Consider the following 17,976-nt stretch of genomic DNA (forward strand, 5'->3'; position numbering starts at 1 on the left):
GGACACATGCACGTGTATGTTTGTTGCAGCACTGTTCACAATAACAAAGACGTAGAATCAATCTAAATGCCTATCAGTGCTAATCTGGATAAAGAAAATGTGGTAAATATACACCATGGAATACTATGCAGCCATAAAAAAGAATTCTTAAAGGTTGATTCTACATCTGAAAATTACTTGAAATTAAACTAAAAAAGCCCAGTGTTTAAATTTTTTGGCATTTGACATTAGAATATCCATGCTATGGAGAAAAAGAAAACTTTAAGAATATTTTTTAAACAGAGAAGAAGAACATACTGTACTGATATCTTGAAGGATTTCAAGCTAAACTAAAAATTCAATAGAAAAAATAAAATTAGTGCTAAAGGAAGTAAAGAACAGACATTGTAGTACAAAATTGAATAAGAGGATTGGAAGAACACCTTGAGAAACTCTCACAGAAGCAGAGGAAACAATGAGAACGATAAAAGAGAATGTGCTGATTTTGGAGACCATGGATCCATAATCATATATCCATAATATAATATGGATCCATGTCATCATTTCCAAAAAAAGACATAAGAAAAATGAATGAAAACAGTTAACAGAGCATACATTAATATTATTTTCCTGACCTGAGAAAAGACCAAACTTTTTTTTTTTTTTTTTTTAAGAGATAGGGTATCACTCTGTTACCCAGGATAGGCTACAGTATTGCCCTAGTAACCCAGACTCTAGGGTGCAGTGGTGCGATAGTTCACCATAGCCCTGAACTCCTGGGCTCCAGCTATCCATCTGCCTCAGCCTCCCAAGTAGCTGGGACTGCAGGCATGCACTACCATATTTAAAAATTTTTTAATTCCTTGTGGTTACCTTACTGTGTTGCCCGGGCTGGTGCAAACTCCTGGCCTCAAGCAGTCCTTCTGCCTCAGCCTCCCAAAGTGTTGGGATTACAGGCACAAGACGCTGCACTCGGCCACACCAAACTTTTTATATTGAAAGTATTGATTATCAAAAACACATATAATAAAAAGAGAACAGGCCAAGTGCAGTGGCTCATGCCTGTAATCCCAGCACTTTGGGAGGCCAAGGTGGGTGGATCACCTGAGGTCAGGAGTTTGAGACCAGCTTGGCCAACATGAAACCTCGTCTCTACTAAAAATACAAAATTAGCCGGGCGTGGTGATGCATGCCTGTAATCCCAGCTACTTGGGAGGCTGAGGCAGGAGAATGGCTTGAACCCGGGAGACGGAGGTTGCAGTGAGTCGAGATCATGCCACTGCACTCCAGCCTGGGCAGCAGAGCAAGACTCCGTCTCAAAAAAAAAGAACAATACTTAGATACATGCTAGTATGTTTGTTGAATAAAAGAACATCAATAAGCATGTGTAATTAGTCTAACCTTCCTAGGTTGTTGAAAAGGAACTAAAATCAAGCTTCACCTCCAAAAATATAATGCTTATAATGACCTGTGCAAACAGTTTTGAACAAAAATGATAATTCCAGGAAGAAGGGGAAGCTAGAAAATTGAGAGTTTTAAATCAGAAGCAGCAGTTCAATTGAGAATAAGAATTGACTGGATTCAGTTGTTTAGCTAATGATAAGAAAAAAAGAAAAAATGACATCCCTTTGACATTTTCTTAGTTATTCCACAAACATATCTGCATAATTTATATTTTATTGTATTTTTCTTATCTTTTTAAAGGTAAGAAATCGTAATATACTTTTTTCTTTTTTTATCATTCAATTTCTTTTTTTATTATTATTATACCTTAAGTTCTAGGGTACTGTGCACAACGTGCAGGTTTGTTACATATGTGTGTAGTATACATTTTCTTTGTTGTTTCCCGTATGTGGTTGGGGTAGCATTTTGAAGAGATGGTCTTTCCACCTGCAAAGCTATTTGTATATTAGAATATTTAATTCTCCTGGGGACTGGACTAAAAGCCAGTGAAAATGCTTCAGGCATTTTGACAGGTAAACCAAAACAAAGTAAAATACCACTTCCACACATTTCCAAATTCTTCTCCCTTGCATGCAGTCCTGCCAAAATTAGGAACCACTATTTTTTTTTTTTTTTTTTGAGATGAAGTCTTGCTCTGTCGCCCAGGCTGGAGTGCAGTGGCGTGGTCTCAGCTCACTGCCTCCCGGATTCAACTGATTCTCCTGCCTCAGCCTTCTGAGTAGCTGGGATTACAGGCATGCGCCTGCATGCCCAGCTAATTTTTGTATTTCTAGTGGAGACGGGGTTTCACCATGTTGGCCCGGCTGGTCTCAAACTCCTGACCTCGTGATCTGCCAGCCTCTGCCTCCCAAAGTGCTGGGATTACAGGCGTGAGCCACCGTGCCCAGGCTAGTAACCACTGTTTATCTATTAATTTGTACTCAGGGTGTTAATAGAGCACGTTAATTGATTTTTTGAATATTGAACCAGGCTTGCATATCTGGGATAAACCACCCCGTACCTTTTTTTTTTTTTAACTATACTTTTTTTTTAAATGCTGAACTATCCACAGGCCCTTATGGTTTTGTTTTTTGTTGTTGTTGTTGTTGTTTTTGTTTTTTGAGATGGAGCTTTGCTCTTTTTGCCCAAACTGGAGTGCAGTGGTGCGATCTCAGCTCACTGCAACCTACACCTCCCAGGTTCATGTGATTCTCTTGCCTCAGCTCCTGAATAGCTGGGATTACAGGCGTACACCACCATGCCCGGCTAATTTTTTGTATTTTTAGTAGAAACAGGGTTTCACCATGTTAGCCAGGCTGGTCTCGAATGCTGACATCAGTTGATCTGCCTGCCTTGGCCTCCCAAAGTGCCTGGGATTACAGGTGTGAGCCACTGTGCCTGGCCAACATTGGATTTTTCAGTTGTATTACCAGTTTTATGTTCAAAACTCCTTTAAGAGGTTCTATTTTTATGCATTGTCTTTACTTAACCCAATCTCTTCATTTATAAATATGTAAATATTATGTATTTAGAAAATATATAATGGTAAAGTTTGAAAGGATGCCTGAGTAACCAAGAACAGTGGTTTCCTGGGGTGGAAGGAGGGCAACATCGGAATAGACAAATGGGAACAAGGGTATGAGTGAAGCTTTTCACTATATAATCATTTATAAAATGGACAGATTGATCGGCTGACACTAAAGTTCTTTTCAGTGTTCTAATCCTATGAATCATGTCTAGAATATTTAAACTATTGATAAAAGACCAGCATCTACAAAATTTTTAAGTTTTCTTATTATTGTTGGTTAATTTCATCTCCAGAATTTAGTTATTAGTTTTGTTCAGAAACATTATTTAAATAAATCAGCCTCAGTGCTATGGTGCGTATGAATTAAGCCATACTAAAGGTACACATCCAAAATAAAGAAACAAGTCAGAAGCCCCCAAGGAATATATTGGCCAAGTGTATTAGACTATTATTTTAGCTAATCAAACACATTAGGAAAGCCTACTGTAAGAAATGAAATTAAAGATCAGATATTGCTTTCGATAACCTTTTACTTTAGTATTCTCAGCAATGTTGGTAAATATTTATTAGCTGATAAATTATGTGGCAAATGTTCTACAAAAATTAGTTAAATCGGATTATGTGTGTGGAGAAAGATTGGCATTAAAAGTACATTAGGTTGTCCTTTTAGGATAAGTCTATTGAGCATTTCTTTTTCTGGTTATTATATTGATAATTTGAATAACAGAAAGTAATTTTTTTGGTCGTGCATGGTGGCTCACGCCTGTAATCCCAGCACTTTTGGAGGCCTAGTTGGGTGGATCATCTGAAGTCGAGAGTTCGGGACCAGCCTGACCAACATGGAGAAACCCCATCTCTACTAAAAATACAAAATTAGCCGGGCGTGGTGGCACATGCCTGTAATGCCAGCTACTCAGGAGGCTGAGGCAAGAGAATCGCTTGAACCCAGGAGGCAGAGGTTGCGGTGAGGCGAGATTGTGCCATTGCACTCCAGCCTGGGCATCAAGAGCGAAACTCTGTCTCAAAAAAAAAAAAAAAAAAAAAAGAATTTTTTTTTATTGAAGTATAATTTATACCTGAAGTTCACTCAATTTAAGTGAACAATTCAGTTATTTTTTTTGCAAATGTACACACTTGTGCAATGGTTACCAGTTTAATTTTAGAACATATATATACCCTAAAAAGAAACCATGTACCCATTCATAGTTACTCTTTGTATCATTAGTTTACCATACCTAATTATGTATGTAACTTTGTATAACTGACTATAAAATATGATAAAAGTAAGTACTATGCAATTTCCAGAATTATTCAGCCTTCTAGGTTTGTTTTGAAGACTTGGTAATTTTGAACATGGACATTTTCTTTGATGATATTTTTTATTTGGACACCAAAATTATTTAATAGAAGCAAGAGTGGTGAGAATAATTTGAGTACGAGGGGATTGCTTTTGGGAAATGAGAATTTTAAAATTTCCTTCTTGTTTGGAGTTTACAAATGAATTCATGAACAGAAGAACGTCATTGAATGTAAAATTAGAAATTTATGTAAAGATTTCAGTTCAAATAATTTAGTAGGGAAATTTATGAAGTCATTCGGATAAGACAAAGATTTTATATAATATTTTGAAAACATTAAATAATTTGTCATTCCTTTATTTCCTTTATTTTAGCTTCGCAGAATCAAGAACGGCTATGTGCGTTTAAAGATCCGTATCAGCAAGACCTTGGGATAGGTGAGAGTAGAATCTCTCATGAAAATGGGACAATATTATGCTCGAAAGGTAGCACCTGCTATGGCCTTTGGGAGAAATCAAAAGGGGACATAAATCTTGTAAAACAAGGCAAGTGATACTTTCCTTACCTGAAATGACTGTGTTTTATACAATTGATATTTATCTAAAAAGGACATGGGAGTATGTTAAAATCCTGTTCAGAAAAACAGTGAATTTAAAAGTGTATATATAAAGCCAGGTGTGGTGGCTCATGCCTGTAATTCCAGCACTTTTCGAGGCTGAGGTGGGCGGATCACTTGAGGCCAGGAGTTTGAGACCAGCCTGGGTAATAACATGGTGAAACCCCGTCTCTACTAAAAATACAAAAATTAGTCGGGTATGGTGGTGTGCGCCTGTGGTCCCAGCTACTCAGTAGGCTGAGGCAGGAGAATCACTGAACCTGGAAGGCAGAGGTTGTAGTGAGCTGAGATGTCACCAGTGCACTCCAGTCTGGGCAACAGAGCAAGACTCCATCTCAAAGAAAAAAAAAGTGTGTGTATATCTCCACAAGCCCCAAATTTATAAAAGGCTATTTATTTTTAGATTATTTTTAAAACATCTTTCTTATAATGTTATACATGCCCGTTCTATGAATTTTGGAATATATAGAGAACTACAAAGAAAACAAAAGTCTACAATAATATACTCTTTAAAAATATTTTTACTGGCCGGGCGTGGTGGCTCACGCCTGTAATCCCAGCACTTTGGGAGGCCGAGGCGGGTGGATCACTAGGTCAGGAGGTGGAGACCAGCCTGGCTAACACAGTGAAACCCCGTCTCTACTAAAAATACAGAAAATTAGCCGGGCGTGGTGGCGGGCGCCTGTAGTCCCAGCTACAGGCTGAGGCAGGAGAATGGCATGAAGCTGGGAGGCGGAGCTTGCAGTGAGCCGAGATCGCACCACTGCACTCCAGCCTGGGCGACAGAGCGAGACTCCGTCTCAAAAAAAAAAAAATTAGGAACATACTGTATAAACAATTTCATATCCAGTTTTCTCCACCTTAATTATAAGCATTTTTCCATGTCTTTAAAGAATCTCTGAAAACCTTTTTAACTTTTGCACAACATATCATTGTATATATGTATCATAGTTTACTTACAGATTATTCTATTGGTAGACATTATGTTATTTTCATGTTTTCACTGTAATGCATAGTGAAACACAGTTGTTCAGTGAACAACTTTAAACATAATTTTTTGATTGTATGTGATTGTTTCTTGAAATAGATCCCTTGATGTAGAATTATTAGGTTATAAGATATATCAATATTTTAAAGACTGTATAAAAATTTCCATGTGGCTTTCTAAAAGTACTGTTCATTTATATTCTCTCCAACACTGTATGAACGTGTCTGTGTTACTGAATCATTTTTCTTTTTTTATTTTTATTTTTTGAGATGGAGTCTCGCTCTGTTACCCAGGCTGGAGTGCAATGGTGGGATCTCGGCTCACTGCAACCTCCGCCTCCCGGGTTCAAGCGATTCTCCTGCCTCAGCCTGCCAAGTAGCTGGGACTACAGGTGCGCACCACCACGCCCAGCTAATTTTTGTATTCTTAGTGGAGATAGAGTTTTGCCATGTTGGCCAGGGTGGTCTCGATCTCCTGACCCTCATGATCCGCCCACTTCGGCCTCCCAAAGTGCTGGGATTACACGTGTGAGCCACCGTGCCCAGCCATTTTTCTGATATATATTATTTATTTATTTGTTATTGTATTTTTGAGACAGAATGTCACTCTGTCGCTCAGGATAGAGTGCAGTGGCACATTCATGGCTCACTGCAACCTTGACCTCCTGGGCTCAAGCAATCCCCCCAAGTCAGTAGGACCACAACTAGGCACCACCATTCCCAGCTAATTTTTAAGTGTTTGTAGAGATGTGGTATGGCTGCGTTGCCCAGGCAGGTCTCAAATTCCTGGGCTCAAGTGATCCTCCTGCTTTGGCTTCCCAACGTGCTGGGATTCTAGGCGTGAGCCACCGTGCCCAGCCATATTATTTTTTAAACCTAAAACAATATATTTGGTATAGACAAAAATGAAACCTTACTCTTGCTTTAATAATTCTTCGATTAGCTGGGTGCAGTGGCTCACACCTGTAATCCCAGCACTTTGGGAGGCCGAGGCAGGCAGATCACCTGAGCTCAGGAGTTTGAGACCGGCCTGACCAACATGGAGAAACCCCATCTCTACTAAAAATACAAAATTAGCCGGGCATGGTGGTGGCACATGCCTGTAATCCCAGCTACTCGGGAGGCTAAGGTAGGAGAATCGCTTGAACCCGGGAGGTGGAGATTGCAGTGAGCTGAGATCGTGCCATTGCACTCTAGCCTGGGCAACAAGAGTGAAACTCCGCCTCAATAAATAAATAAATAATTCTTAGATTAATCATGCAGTTAAACCTTTTTTGGTGGCCTTTTCCCCCCCATGAAATGTCTTTGGTATCCTTTACCATTTTTCTGTTTCTTAAAAATATGTTTCCTGTTGATTTGCAAAACTGTTTCATAGCTTACACGTACTCTCACATTTATTGAAATTACTGCTTAGTTTGTTGTTTTTCTCTTAGTTTTCTTTATCATATTGTCTCCTTTTTTGTATTCATATTGATTTATAGGATGTTGGTCTCACATTGGAGATCCCCAAGAGTGTCACTATGAAGAATGTGTAGTAACTACCACTCCTCCCTCAATTCAGAATGGAACATACCGTTTCTGCTGTTGTAGCACAGATTTATGTAATGTCAACTTTACTGAGAATTTTCCACCTCCTGACACAACACCACTCAGTAAGTAAAGTAACCAACTTTTCTTTGTATTTCCTTTCTCCAAAGATTTGCAAAATATAAAAAAACTTAAAAAACATTCAAGGTTGAAGCCAGGCGTGATGGCTCATGCCTGTAATGCCAGCACTTTGGGAGGCCGAGGTGGATGGATCACCTGAGGTCAGAGTTTGAGACCAGCCTGGTGAAATCCCGTCTCTGCCAAAAGTAAAAAATTAGCCGGGCGTAGTGGTAGGCGCCTGTAATCCCGCTACTCAGGAGGCTGAGACAGGAGAATTGATTGAACCCGGGAGGCAGAGGTTGCAGTGAGCCAAGATTGCACCATTGCACTCCAGCCTGGGCAACAAGAGTGAACCTAAAAGAAAAAAAAAATTCAAAGTTGTTGGGAGTGAGAGGTAGAGTTCCAGCATCATAAGATTACATCTGGCAAACACCTGAAATCCGAAAGCGATGCACCAGGACTTCCAAGGCATCAATATATTACTAAATAACTTTGGTAAAATATAGTACTGGCCAGGCACAGTGGCTCATGCCTGTAATTTCAGCACTTTAGGAGGCCAGAGCAGGAGGAGCACTTGAGCCCAGGAACTGAAGACCAGCCTGGGCAACATAGTGAGATCCCATCTCTACCAAAACAATAAATAAATTAGCCAGGCGTGGTGGTGCGCATGTGTAGTTCAGCTATTTGGGAGGCTGAGGTTGGAGATTTGCTTGAGCCTAGGAAGTTGAAGCTGCAGCTATTGTGCCACTGCCCTCTAACCTAGGTGACACAGCGAGACTCTGTCTCAAAATAAAATAAAATGTAGTACTTTACAACCTGTATGGAGGGAAATTTGGTTAAGACAACTACATGTGTGCTTACTCTTTCACCTAGCTTTCATATTTCTTGGAATTTATCTGGAAGATACATCTTCAATAGTACGAATATACATAGACATTGAGTTGTTTACTGCAGTGTTATTTGTAACTGCACAATATTAGGAAGTAAATGTCCAAGAATAGGAGATTAGTTGAAATATACTATGGTACATACATGTAATGGAGTACCAACTATACAGCTATAAGAAAAAAATAAGATCTCTATGAACTAGCACAGAGTGATTTTCACCGGTAATATTAGATGCAAAAAGTACATATAGTAGGCTGTCTTGTATAGGACTGGAAGGAAAATAAAAAAGCCTATCTATTATTGACTTACCTTTAAAAAAAGAAACAAAGAATAAATAGAAAATAATGAACTTGGTTATTTATAAGGGATCCAAGGAATGAGACAGAAAGAATATGGAAGGGAGTGAATGTTCTCTGAGTGTAGCTTTTTTTTTGGTTTTTGTTTATTTTTTGGTTTTGTTTTGTTTTGTTTTTTTGAGATGGAGTTTCGCTCTTGTTGCCGAGGCTGGAGTGCAATGGCACGATCTCGGCTCACCACAACCTCTGCCTCCCAGGTTCAAGCGATTCTCCTGCCTCAGCCTCCCTAGTAGCTGGGATCAGGCATGTGCCACCACGCCCGGCTAATTTTGTATTTTTAGTAGAGACGGGGTTTCTCCATGTTGGTCAGGCTGGTCTCGAAGTCCCGACCTCAGGTGATCCACCTGCCTCAGCCTCCCAAAGTGCTGGGATTACAGGTGTGAGCCACCGTACTCGGCCTGAGTGTAGCTTTTTGTATGTAGTTTTTACTGTTGGCATCGTGTCACTATTCTACGTAAGCAAACAAAATTAAGTACCTAACAATGGAAAGGAGAAAAATTCTTCACAGTATACGCAAACTGAAATAAATGAACCCAATTTTATTTTTATTTTATTTATTTATTTTTTTGAGACAGAATCTTGCTTTTGTCACCCTGGCTAGAGTACAGTGGCACGATCCCGGCTCACTGCAACGTCCACCTCCCAGGTTCAAGTGATCTCCTGTCTCAGCCTCCCAAGTAGCCAGGATAACAGGTGTCTGCCACCACACCCAGCTAATTGTTGTATATTTAGTAGAGATGGGGTTTCGCTATGTTGGCCAGGCTGGTCTCAAATTCCCGACCTCAGATGGATGATCCGCCCACCTCGGCCTCCCAAAGTGCTGAGACTACAGGCCTGAGCCACCGCGCCCGGCCCCAATTGTATTTCATATTACTATAATAACTACCCTGATACCAAAGTTATTGAAAGATAAGGGGGGGAAAAAAAGCCCTGAAGAGAAAAAGAACTAATTCAAGTGATTTATAAGCACAGTATTTGACTATATACACTCTTGTGCAAGACGTGATATAAAGGATGGAGGAGAATTGCAAACAAATACTGAACTCTTTTGAGAAGATTTGTCTTTTAGTAGTGTGGGCAAAGCAATTCTGAAACCATCGTAGATGCATTATAGGATTAAGAAAATAAGTTGAGGCTGGGTGCAGGGGCTCATACCTGTAATCCCAGCACTTTGGGAGACTGAGGCGGGCAGATCACGAGGTAAAGAGATCAAGACCATCCTGGCCAACATGGTGAAACCCCATCTCTACTAAAAATACAAAAATTAGCTGGGTGTGCTGGTGCATGCCTGTAATCCCATCTACCCAGGAGGCTGAGACAGGAGAATCACTTGAACCTGGGAGGCGGAGGTTGCAGTGAGCCGAGATCATGCCATTGCACTCCAGCCTGGGCAGCAAGAGTGAAACGCTGTCTCAAAAGATAAAAATAAAAAAAAGGAACGAAGCCTTCTTAGAAAAATGATTTATCCCAAGACTGGAGCAGGATAGATACAAGATAAGCCTGGGACATCTTGTAATGTTTTAATAATTTTTGTAAGAAAGTAAGGAAAGAGGCCGGGCGCGGTGGCTCACGCCTGTAATCCCAGCACTTTGGGAGGCCGAGGCAGCTGGATCATGAGGTCAGGAGATCGAGACCATCCTGGCTAACAAGGTGAAACCCCGTCTCTACTAAAAATACAAAAAAAAATTAGCCGGGCGCGGTGGCGGGCGCCTGTAGTCCCAGCTACTCGGGAGGCTGAGGCAGGAGAATGGCGTGAACCCGGGAAGCGGAGCTTGCAGTGAGCCGAGATTGCGCCACTGCAGTCCGCAGTCCGGCCTGGGCGACAGAGCGAGACTCCGTCTCAAAAAAAAAAAAAAAAAAAGAAAGTAAGGAAAGAGCCTGTAATCCCAGCACTTTGGCAGGCCAAGGCAAGAGGACTGCTTGATCCCAGAATTTCACAACCAGCCTGGGCAACATAGACCTTATCTCAAAAAAAAATTAAAAAGTAGCCAGGTGTGGCACACGCCTGTAGTCCCAGCTACTTGAGAGGCTGAGGTGGGAGGATCACTTGAACTTGGGAAGTCAAGGCTGCATTGAGCTGTGATCAGGCCCCTGTACTCCAGCCTGGGTGACAGTGAGACCCTGTCTCAAAAACAAAACAAAGCAAAAAAAGGAAGGAAAAGTACCTAAAAATATCATGGAGACTTGTCATAAGGACACAGGAGCCAGCTGGAAGGAACTCCCACTGGCTAAATCTGGGTCAATTTGAGTGCTAAACAAGTACATTAATGAACTGTGAACCACTGGAAGGAAAATGAATCATGAGTAGAATGTCAAGTGCCAACTGGTAAATGTAGGATTGCTGGAGTTGGCAGCTTATCATTCTGCAACCATTGTGTTAAGGATTGGATCAGGCAAGAATCATCAAAGGATCCTAAATCTAGGGGCAGTTTCAATGAGGAGCCAGGATATTTGCATGCCTTCCACATATCTCAAGGGAAAAGTTAGTAATTATAAAATGGGAAAAATGGACACCTTGACCAGGTAATAAAAGTTAACATTATTAAAGAAGGACACATGGAAATCCATGATACCTAGAGAAGGACACATAACTAATATAGTACTATATTCCAGTCAAGAATGCATAACCTGAATTTAATCATGAGGTAATATCACACAAACCCCAAATTAGGAATGTTCTGTTACAAAAAGGGGGATCGCATTTTTCAAAAATGCGAATGTCATATAAAACAGACTGTGGGAAAGGTCTAGGTCAAAGGAAGCAAAAAAGACTGGACGACTAGGCAGTGCCTGTCTTTTACTGGATGAGAAGAATGTGATAAAGGACATGATGATTAGAGAAAAATGTTGTTTCAATGTTAAATGTGCTGAAGCTGATAATACTGTGGTTTTATAAGAGAATAACCATATTCTTAGGAAATAATCTAAGAAGTGTTTAAGAATAAAGGACCATGATTCTACTGTGTATTGGTTCAAAAAAAGATTGTGTGTGTGTGTGTGTGTGTGTGTGTAGAAAGAGGTAATAAAAGCAAACAGTAAAATGGTATCAGTAGGTGAATAGGTAAATCTGGGTAAAAGTATATGGTGTATTCTTTGTACTATTCTTGTGACTGTTGTGTAAGGTTTAAATTATTTCCAAATAAAAATTTTAAACAATTTTTAAAGTTTAAAAAGTTAAAATATAGCACATCTCAAGAATTTTCTTAGTCAACCAATTATAACAGACCATACTCTAGGATCATCAGTTTTGGATTATTTCCTTTGATTTGTTGATGAAGCACTAAACTGAAAGCAATAGGAAATTTTCTTTATAGCTGTAGTTTCTACCTATTGAAGGCCATTAGCTTCTATTAGGAGATTGTATTGAATTGGATACATTTATTTTTCACAAACAAAACAAAGTCTCTAATTTTCACTTGTACTTCTAGCTAGATGAAAGAGAGAAAGTGGCCATGTGCGGTGGCTCACACCTGTAATCCCAGCACTTTGGGAGGCCAAGGTGGGTGGATCACCTGAGGTCCGGAGTTCCATGCCAGCCTGGCTACCAAGGTGAAACCCCATCTCTACTAAAAATACAAAAATTAGCCGGGCATGGTGGCGCATGCCTGTAATCCCAGCTACTTGGGAGGCTGAGGCAGAAGAATCACTTGAACCCAGGAAGCAGAGATTGCAGTGAGCCGAGATTGCACCACTGCCCTCTAGCCTGGGCAACAGAGACTCCGTCTCAAAAAGAAAAAGAAAGAGAGAAAGTGAATTTGTTCATACATATCCTCAAAGATCTTTACAGCTGCCTTACATTTCAGATTGTTACCTAGGTCTTAGTTTAGTTTACTATAACCTTTTGACCCAAAAGTAGGAATATTGCCAGCTAGGAATCAGTAATGCTATTGCAATAAAAAGGGAAAGTGTTTTAAGTAAAGCGCTCTAATTTGGAAGCATTAACTCAATTTATATATTTTGTTCTTGAGACAAAAAAATTGAGTGAAGTTAAAGTTGGCAAACAAGATCAGTTTTGGCTTTTGCACTAACCTCAAGAAAAATAACTACTGTAATATCAAATGTCAGACATTTAGTCTGCAATTGCTAGGTGTTTAACCAAAATAAAAATAATTTTATTTGTTGAAGTTTAAAGAAAGAAAATATAAAAATCAGAAACAGAACTTTTGCTCATGGCCATATAACAATAAATAGAAAGTTTGGTGATGGTGAGTTTTTTCTCCTTTAAAATTTTTCATTATGGCAGGGCACAGTGGCTCATGCCTGTAATCCCAGCACTTTGGGATCGCTTGATCCCAGGAGTTTGAGACCAGTCTGGGCAACATGGAGAAACCCCATCTGTACCAAAAATACAAAAATTAGCTGGGCATAGTGGCGCACACCTGTGATCCCTGCTACTTGGGAGGCTGAGATGGGAGGATCACTTGAGTATGGGAGGATCACTTGAGTTTGGGAGGCGGAAGTTGCTGTAATCCAAGATTGCGCCAGTGCACTCCAGCCTAGGCTACAGAGTGAGAACCTGTCTTAAAAAAAAATGAACATAAAAATTTTAACAAAAACACATTTTAAAATTACAAAAAACTGGCCAGGCGCGGTGGCTTACGCCACTAATCTCAGCAGTTTGAGAGGCCAAGGCGGGCGGCTCACTTGAGGTCAGGAGTTTGAGACATCCTGGCCAACATGGAAAAACCCTGTCTCTACTAAAAATAGAAAAAATTAGCTGGGTGTGGTAGTGGGCGCCTGTAATCCCACCTATTCGGGAGGCTGAGGCACGAGAATCGCTTGAACCCAGGAGGCGGAGGTTGCAGTGAGCAGAGATTGTGCCATTGCACTCCAGCCTGGGCGACAGAGTGAGACACTGTCTCAAAATAAATAAAATAAAATAAAATAAAATAAAATAGCCAGGCGCAGTGGCTCATGCCTGTAATCCCAGCACGTTGGGAGGCCGAGGCAGGCGGATCATGAGGTCAGGAGTTCAAGATCAGCTTGGCCAATATGGTGAAACCCCATCTCTACTAAAAATACAAAAATTAGCTGGGCATGGTGGCACACCCCTGTAGTCCCAGCTGTTCGGGAGGCTGAGGCAGAAGAATTCCTTGAACCCAGGAGGCAGAGGTTGCAGTGAGCCGAGATCATGCCACTGCACTCCAGCCTGGGCGACAGAGCGAGACTCTGTCTCACCAAAAATAATAAAATAAAAAATAAAATTACTAAAAACTGTGCAAACTTAGCAAAGAAATAAGTGGATCGCCGGGCACGGTGGCTCACATCTATAATTCCAGCACTTTGGAAGGCCGAGGCAGGTGGATCATGAGGTCAGGAGTTCGAGACCAGCCTGGCCTATATGACGAAACCCCATCTCTACTAAAAATACAAAAAGTATAGCCAGGTGTGGTGGCATGTGCCTGCAGTCCCAGCTACTCAGGAGGCTGAGGCAGAATAATCTCTTGAACCTGGGAAGTGAAGCGGAGGTTGCAGTAAGCTGAGATCGTGCCACTGCACTCCAGCCTGGGCAACAGAAAGAGATTCCGTCTCAAAAAAAACCAAAAACAAAACAAAACAAAAAAGTGGGTAGTGTGGGAAGACTGTGGAAAGGTTATTTTTTATTTTTTTGAGGCGGAGTCTCGCTCTGTCGCCCAGGCTGGAGTACGGTGGCTCACTCGGCTCACTGCAAGCTCCGCCTCCCGGGTTCACGCCATTCTCCTGCCTCAGCCTCCTGAGTAGCTGGGACTACAGGCGCCTGCCACCACGCCTGGCTAATTTGTTTTTGTATTTTTAATAGAGACGGGGTTTCACCGTGTTAGCCAGGATGGTCTCGATCTCCTGACCTCATGATCCGCCCGCCTCGGCCTCCCAAAGTGCTGGGATTACAGGCGTGAGCCACCGCGCCTGCTGGAAAGGTCACTTATTATTCCTATAGTTTTGTATTGTTTGAATCTTTAATTTAAAATGAGAATATATTCATGTATTATTTGTGTAACCAATAACCTGCTTGTTTATTTGGAAAAAGAGAAAAATGACATAAGTAGCAAGGAAAAAAATAATCTCCAATAGTCTCTACACCCATATACAACCATTGTTAATATTTAGAATGTTTCTTTCCAGTCTTTTCTCTTTTATTTTTGCGTAGCTGTATTTGTAATATACATCCATTTTAGATCCTGCCTTTTTGTTTAACATAAATATTTTCCAGGTTACTATATATGTTTCATAGTTGTCAGGTTTTTGTTTTGTGTTGTTGTTTTTTGATTCGGTCTCGTTCTGTTGCCCAGGTGGGAGTGCAGGTTTTTTGTATTTGTATTTTTAGTAGTTTGGCCAAGCTGGTCTCGAACTCCTGACCTCAGGTGATCCACCTGCCTCGGCTTCCCAAAGTGTTGGAATTACAGGCGTGAGTCACCACGCCCGGCCACATTTTTATACTTTTTCAAAATACTAGTGTAACATCTCACGTACCCCATAAATATATATACCTACTATGTACCCACAAAAATAAAAAATTAAAAAATATATATTAATGTAGAAGGCACAGGATAAGAGAAATATAAGGTTGCATCCTTTAGGAAAATATTAATTCTTTAATGCAGTAGTAACAAAATTCCATTTACACATTATTTATTGTTCATCAGACAGTTTTCATTCTGAAGTTTTGCTAGCTCTGCACTTCTGAATGCCAGCCTCTATCCCGTATCTACCCTACCTACCTACCTTGCTCCTCTTCTCTCAAAAAGTAATCCTTTTTCATGTTGGGGTTTTTAAAATTTTACATTACTTATTTGCCTGATGAACAAAGCAAAACCTGTTAACTGACCTGGCTTTTACTGATAAACTCAGTGGAAGCTTTTCGTCTGTAAAATCTAAGTCCCGGCCGGGTGCAGTGGCTCACGCCTGTAATCCCAGCCCTTTGGGAGGCCAAAGTGGGCAGATCACCTAAGGTCAGGAGTTTGAGACCAGACTGATCAACATGGAGAAACCCCGTCTCTACTAAAAAAAAATGCAAAATTAGCCGGGCGTGGTGGCACATGCCTGTAATCTCAGCCACTTGGGAGGCCAAGGCAGGAGAATCGCTTGAACCTGGGAGGCGGAGGTTGCAGTGAGCCAAGATTGCAGCATTGCACTCCAGCCTGGGCAACAAGAGTGAAACTCTGTCTCAAGGTTAAAAAAAAAAAAAAAAAAAAAAAAAAATCTAAGTCCCAAGCATGTATGGTGGAATTGACCAGTGTTTAATAAATATCTTCTGAAATACTAGACAGAATTGGTTGCAGACTATGAAATAATTTCCATGTCTTTATTTCAACAACTGCAATTTTTATTGTCTTTTTAGGATTTCCAATTCCATGTGTCCCTCTCTTCCTGCCTTAACTGTGTCTCATTTCCTTATAATGTGCTCTCTGATTACTGAGCATTTTCTGCGTATTTTCATATGCAAAAACTAATTACCCATCTAATAATTATTTAGTGGTTTCAGATACAGACGTACTATAATAGAGTCATAGATACATGGAAACATTTAAAATACATTCAAAACCAAGATGAGACTAGCCATGATTTGAGTAACAAGCATCTTTAAAATAATGTTAAATAGGCTGGGTGCGGTGGCTCATGCCTGTAATCCTAGCACTTGGGGAGGCCGAGGCGGGTGGATTGCCTGAGTTCAGGAGTTGGAGACCAGCCTTGGTAACACAATGAAACCCGTCTCTACTAAAATACAAAATAATTAGCTGGGTGTGGTGGCATGCGCCTGTAATCCCGGTTACTTGGGAGGCTGAGGCAGGAGAATTGCTGGAACCCGGGAGGCGGAAGTTGCAGTGAGCTGAGATTGCGCCATTGCACTCCAGCCTGGGATGCAGAGCGAGACTCAAAAAAAATAAATAAAATAAGTTAAATAATAGTTGAACAGACACAACTTTGACTAAGAATACACGGACAACTTCAATATACTGTTTTGAGCACTTCTCAAAATGTCTCATTAAAAACAACACATTTTGTATTAGCTGTAATATGAAATTAGCTTAATCAACTGCCAAAAAAAAAAAAAAAAGGATAATTTGAGGGAGAGAAGCATAAGGTTTCACTTGATTGTTTGGAATGTTATATAGTGTAATGATTAAGAGCATAGGTCATCAGTCGTAGTGCCTGGGTTAAAAACCTTGCTGTTAAACTTGCTAAACATAACCTTGAGCAGATTATTTAGCCTCTGTGCATCAATTACTTCATATGCAAAATAATAGTATCCAATTTATGTGGGTGTTTAGATTAAACAAGATAATACACTAAAGTGCCCACATAGAGAAGACATTCAATAAATAACAGTTACTTTCTTAGGAAATAACTGTCTTTAAGTCATTTTAGAAACTATTACAAACATCCTCCCCCATATCATTTTCCTTTTACCATAAAGGATACTTTTCTGCTAATTTTTATTTATTATGTATGAAAGCCTATATTCTGTGATTTTTTTTTTAATTTGAAGGATTGTTATTGAGTTTCCTATGATATTTGTTGTTTCCTATGTCCTTATACTTGAGAAACAGAACACATACTATTTCCTGCATCTTTCATACACAGAAAAAAAATAAAAGCTAAGCCGGGAGCGGTGGCTCACACCTGTAATCCCAGCACTTTGGGAGGCCAAGGCGGGCGGATCACAAGGTCAGGAGTTTGAGACCAGCCTGGCCAATATGATGAAACCCACCTCTACTGAAAATACAAAAATTAGCTGGGCATGGTGGCAGGTGACTGTAGTCCCAGCTACTTGGGAGACTGAGGCAAGAGAATAGCTTGAACCTAAGAGGCGGAGGTTGCAGTGAGCTGAATTCACCCCACTGCACTCCAGCCTGGGCGACAGAGTGAGACTCCATCTCCAAAATAAATAAATAAATAAATAATAAAAGCTATAGGAAGTTGTTCCTGAAAAACCAGATATTCTGCCTTTTTTCCTCCAATTGTATATTTGTAAAAGTGTTTAGCAATAAGTAAGAGGCAGTGGATCCTCATTGTTCCTGAATTCCGTTTTGCCCCCCTTTTACTTGCTAAAATGTATTTGTAACCCCAAAACCAATATTCACAGTGCTTTCATGGTTATTCCTAGACATGCACAGAGTGGCAAAAAATTCAAGTCACCCAAGGTGCACGTTCCTAGCTTAGGTTGAAGAAGGCTATGCTCTGCCTTCTTGTTTCAGTTGTCATACTGTAAACAAGTATCTTTTTCAGTCTATTTAGTGGTATTCTTTTGCATTT

At 40.4% G+C, this 17,976-nt stretch overlaps 1 protein-coding gene across 2 annotated transcripts in view; it reads left to right on the forward strand.

Moving 5' to 3' along the window:
• BMPR2 (bone morphogenetic protein receptor type 2) overlaps positions 1-17,976 on the forward strand; it is a 191,423-nt gene that overhangs the window by 83,860 nt on the left and 89,587 nt on the right. For both annotated transcript variants that reach the window (NM_001204.7, XM_011511687.2), the window contains exons 2-3: positions 4,623-4,793; positions 7,333-7,503. In NM_001204.7, the coding sequence (NP_001195.2) occupies positions 4,623-4,793; positions 7,333-7,503 (342 nt within the window). The remainder of the gene's footprint in view (positions 1-4,622; positions 4,794-7,332; positions 7,504-17,976) is intronic.

The sequence above is a fragment of the Homo sapiens genome, chromosome 2 (genome assembly GCF_000001405.40).
Source record: "Homo sapiens chromosome 2, GRCh38.p14 Primary Assembly".
Taxonomy (NCBI): Eukaryota; Metazoa; Chordata; class Mammalia; order Primates; family Hominidae; genus Homo; species Homo sapiens.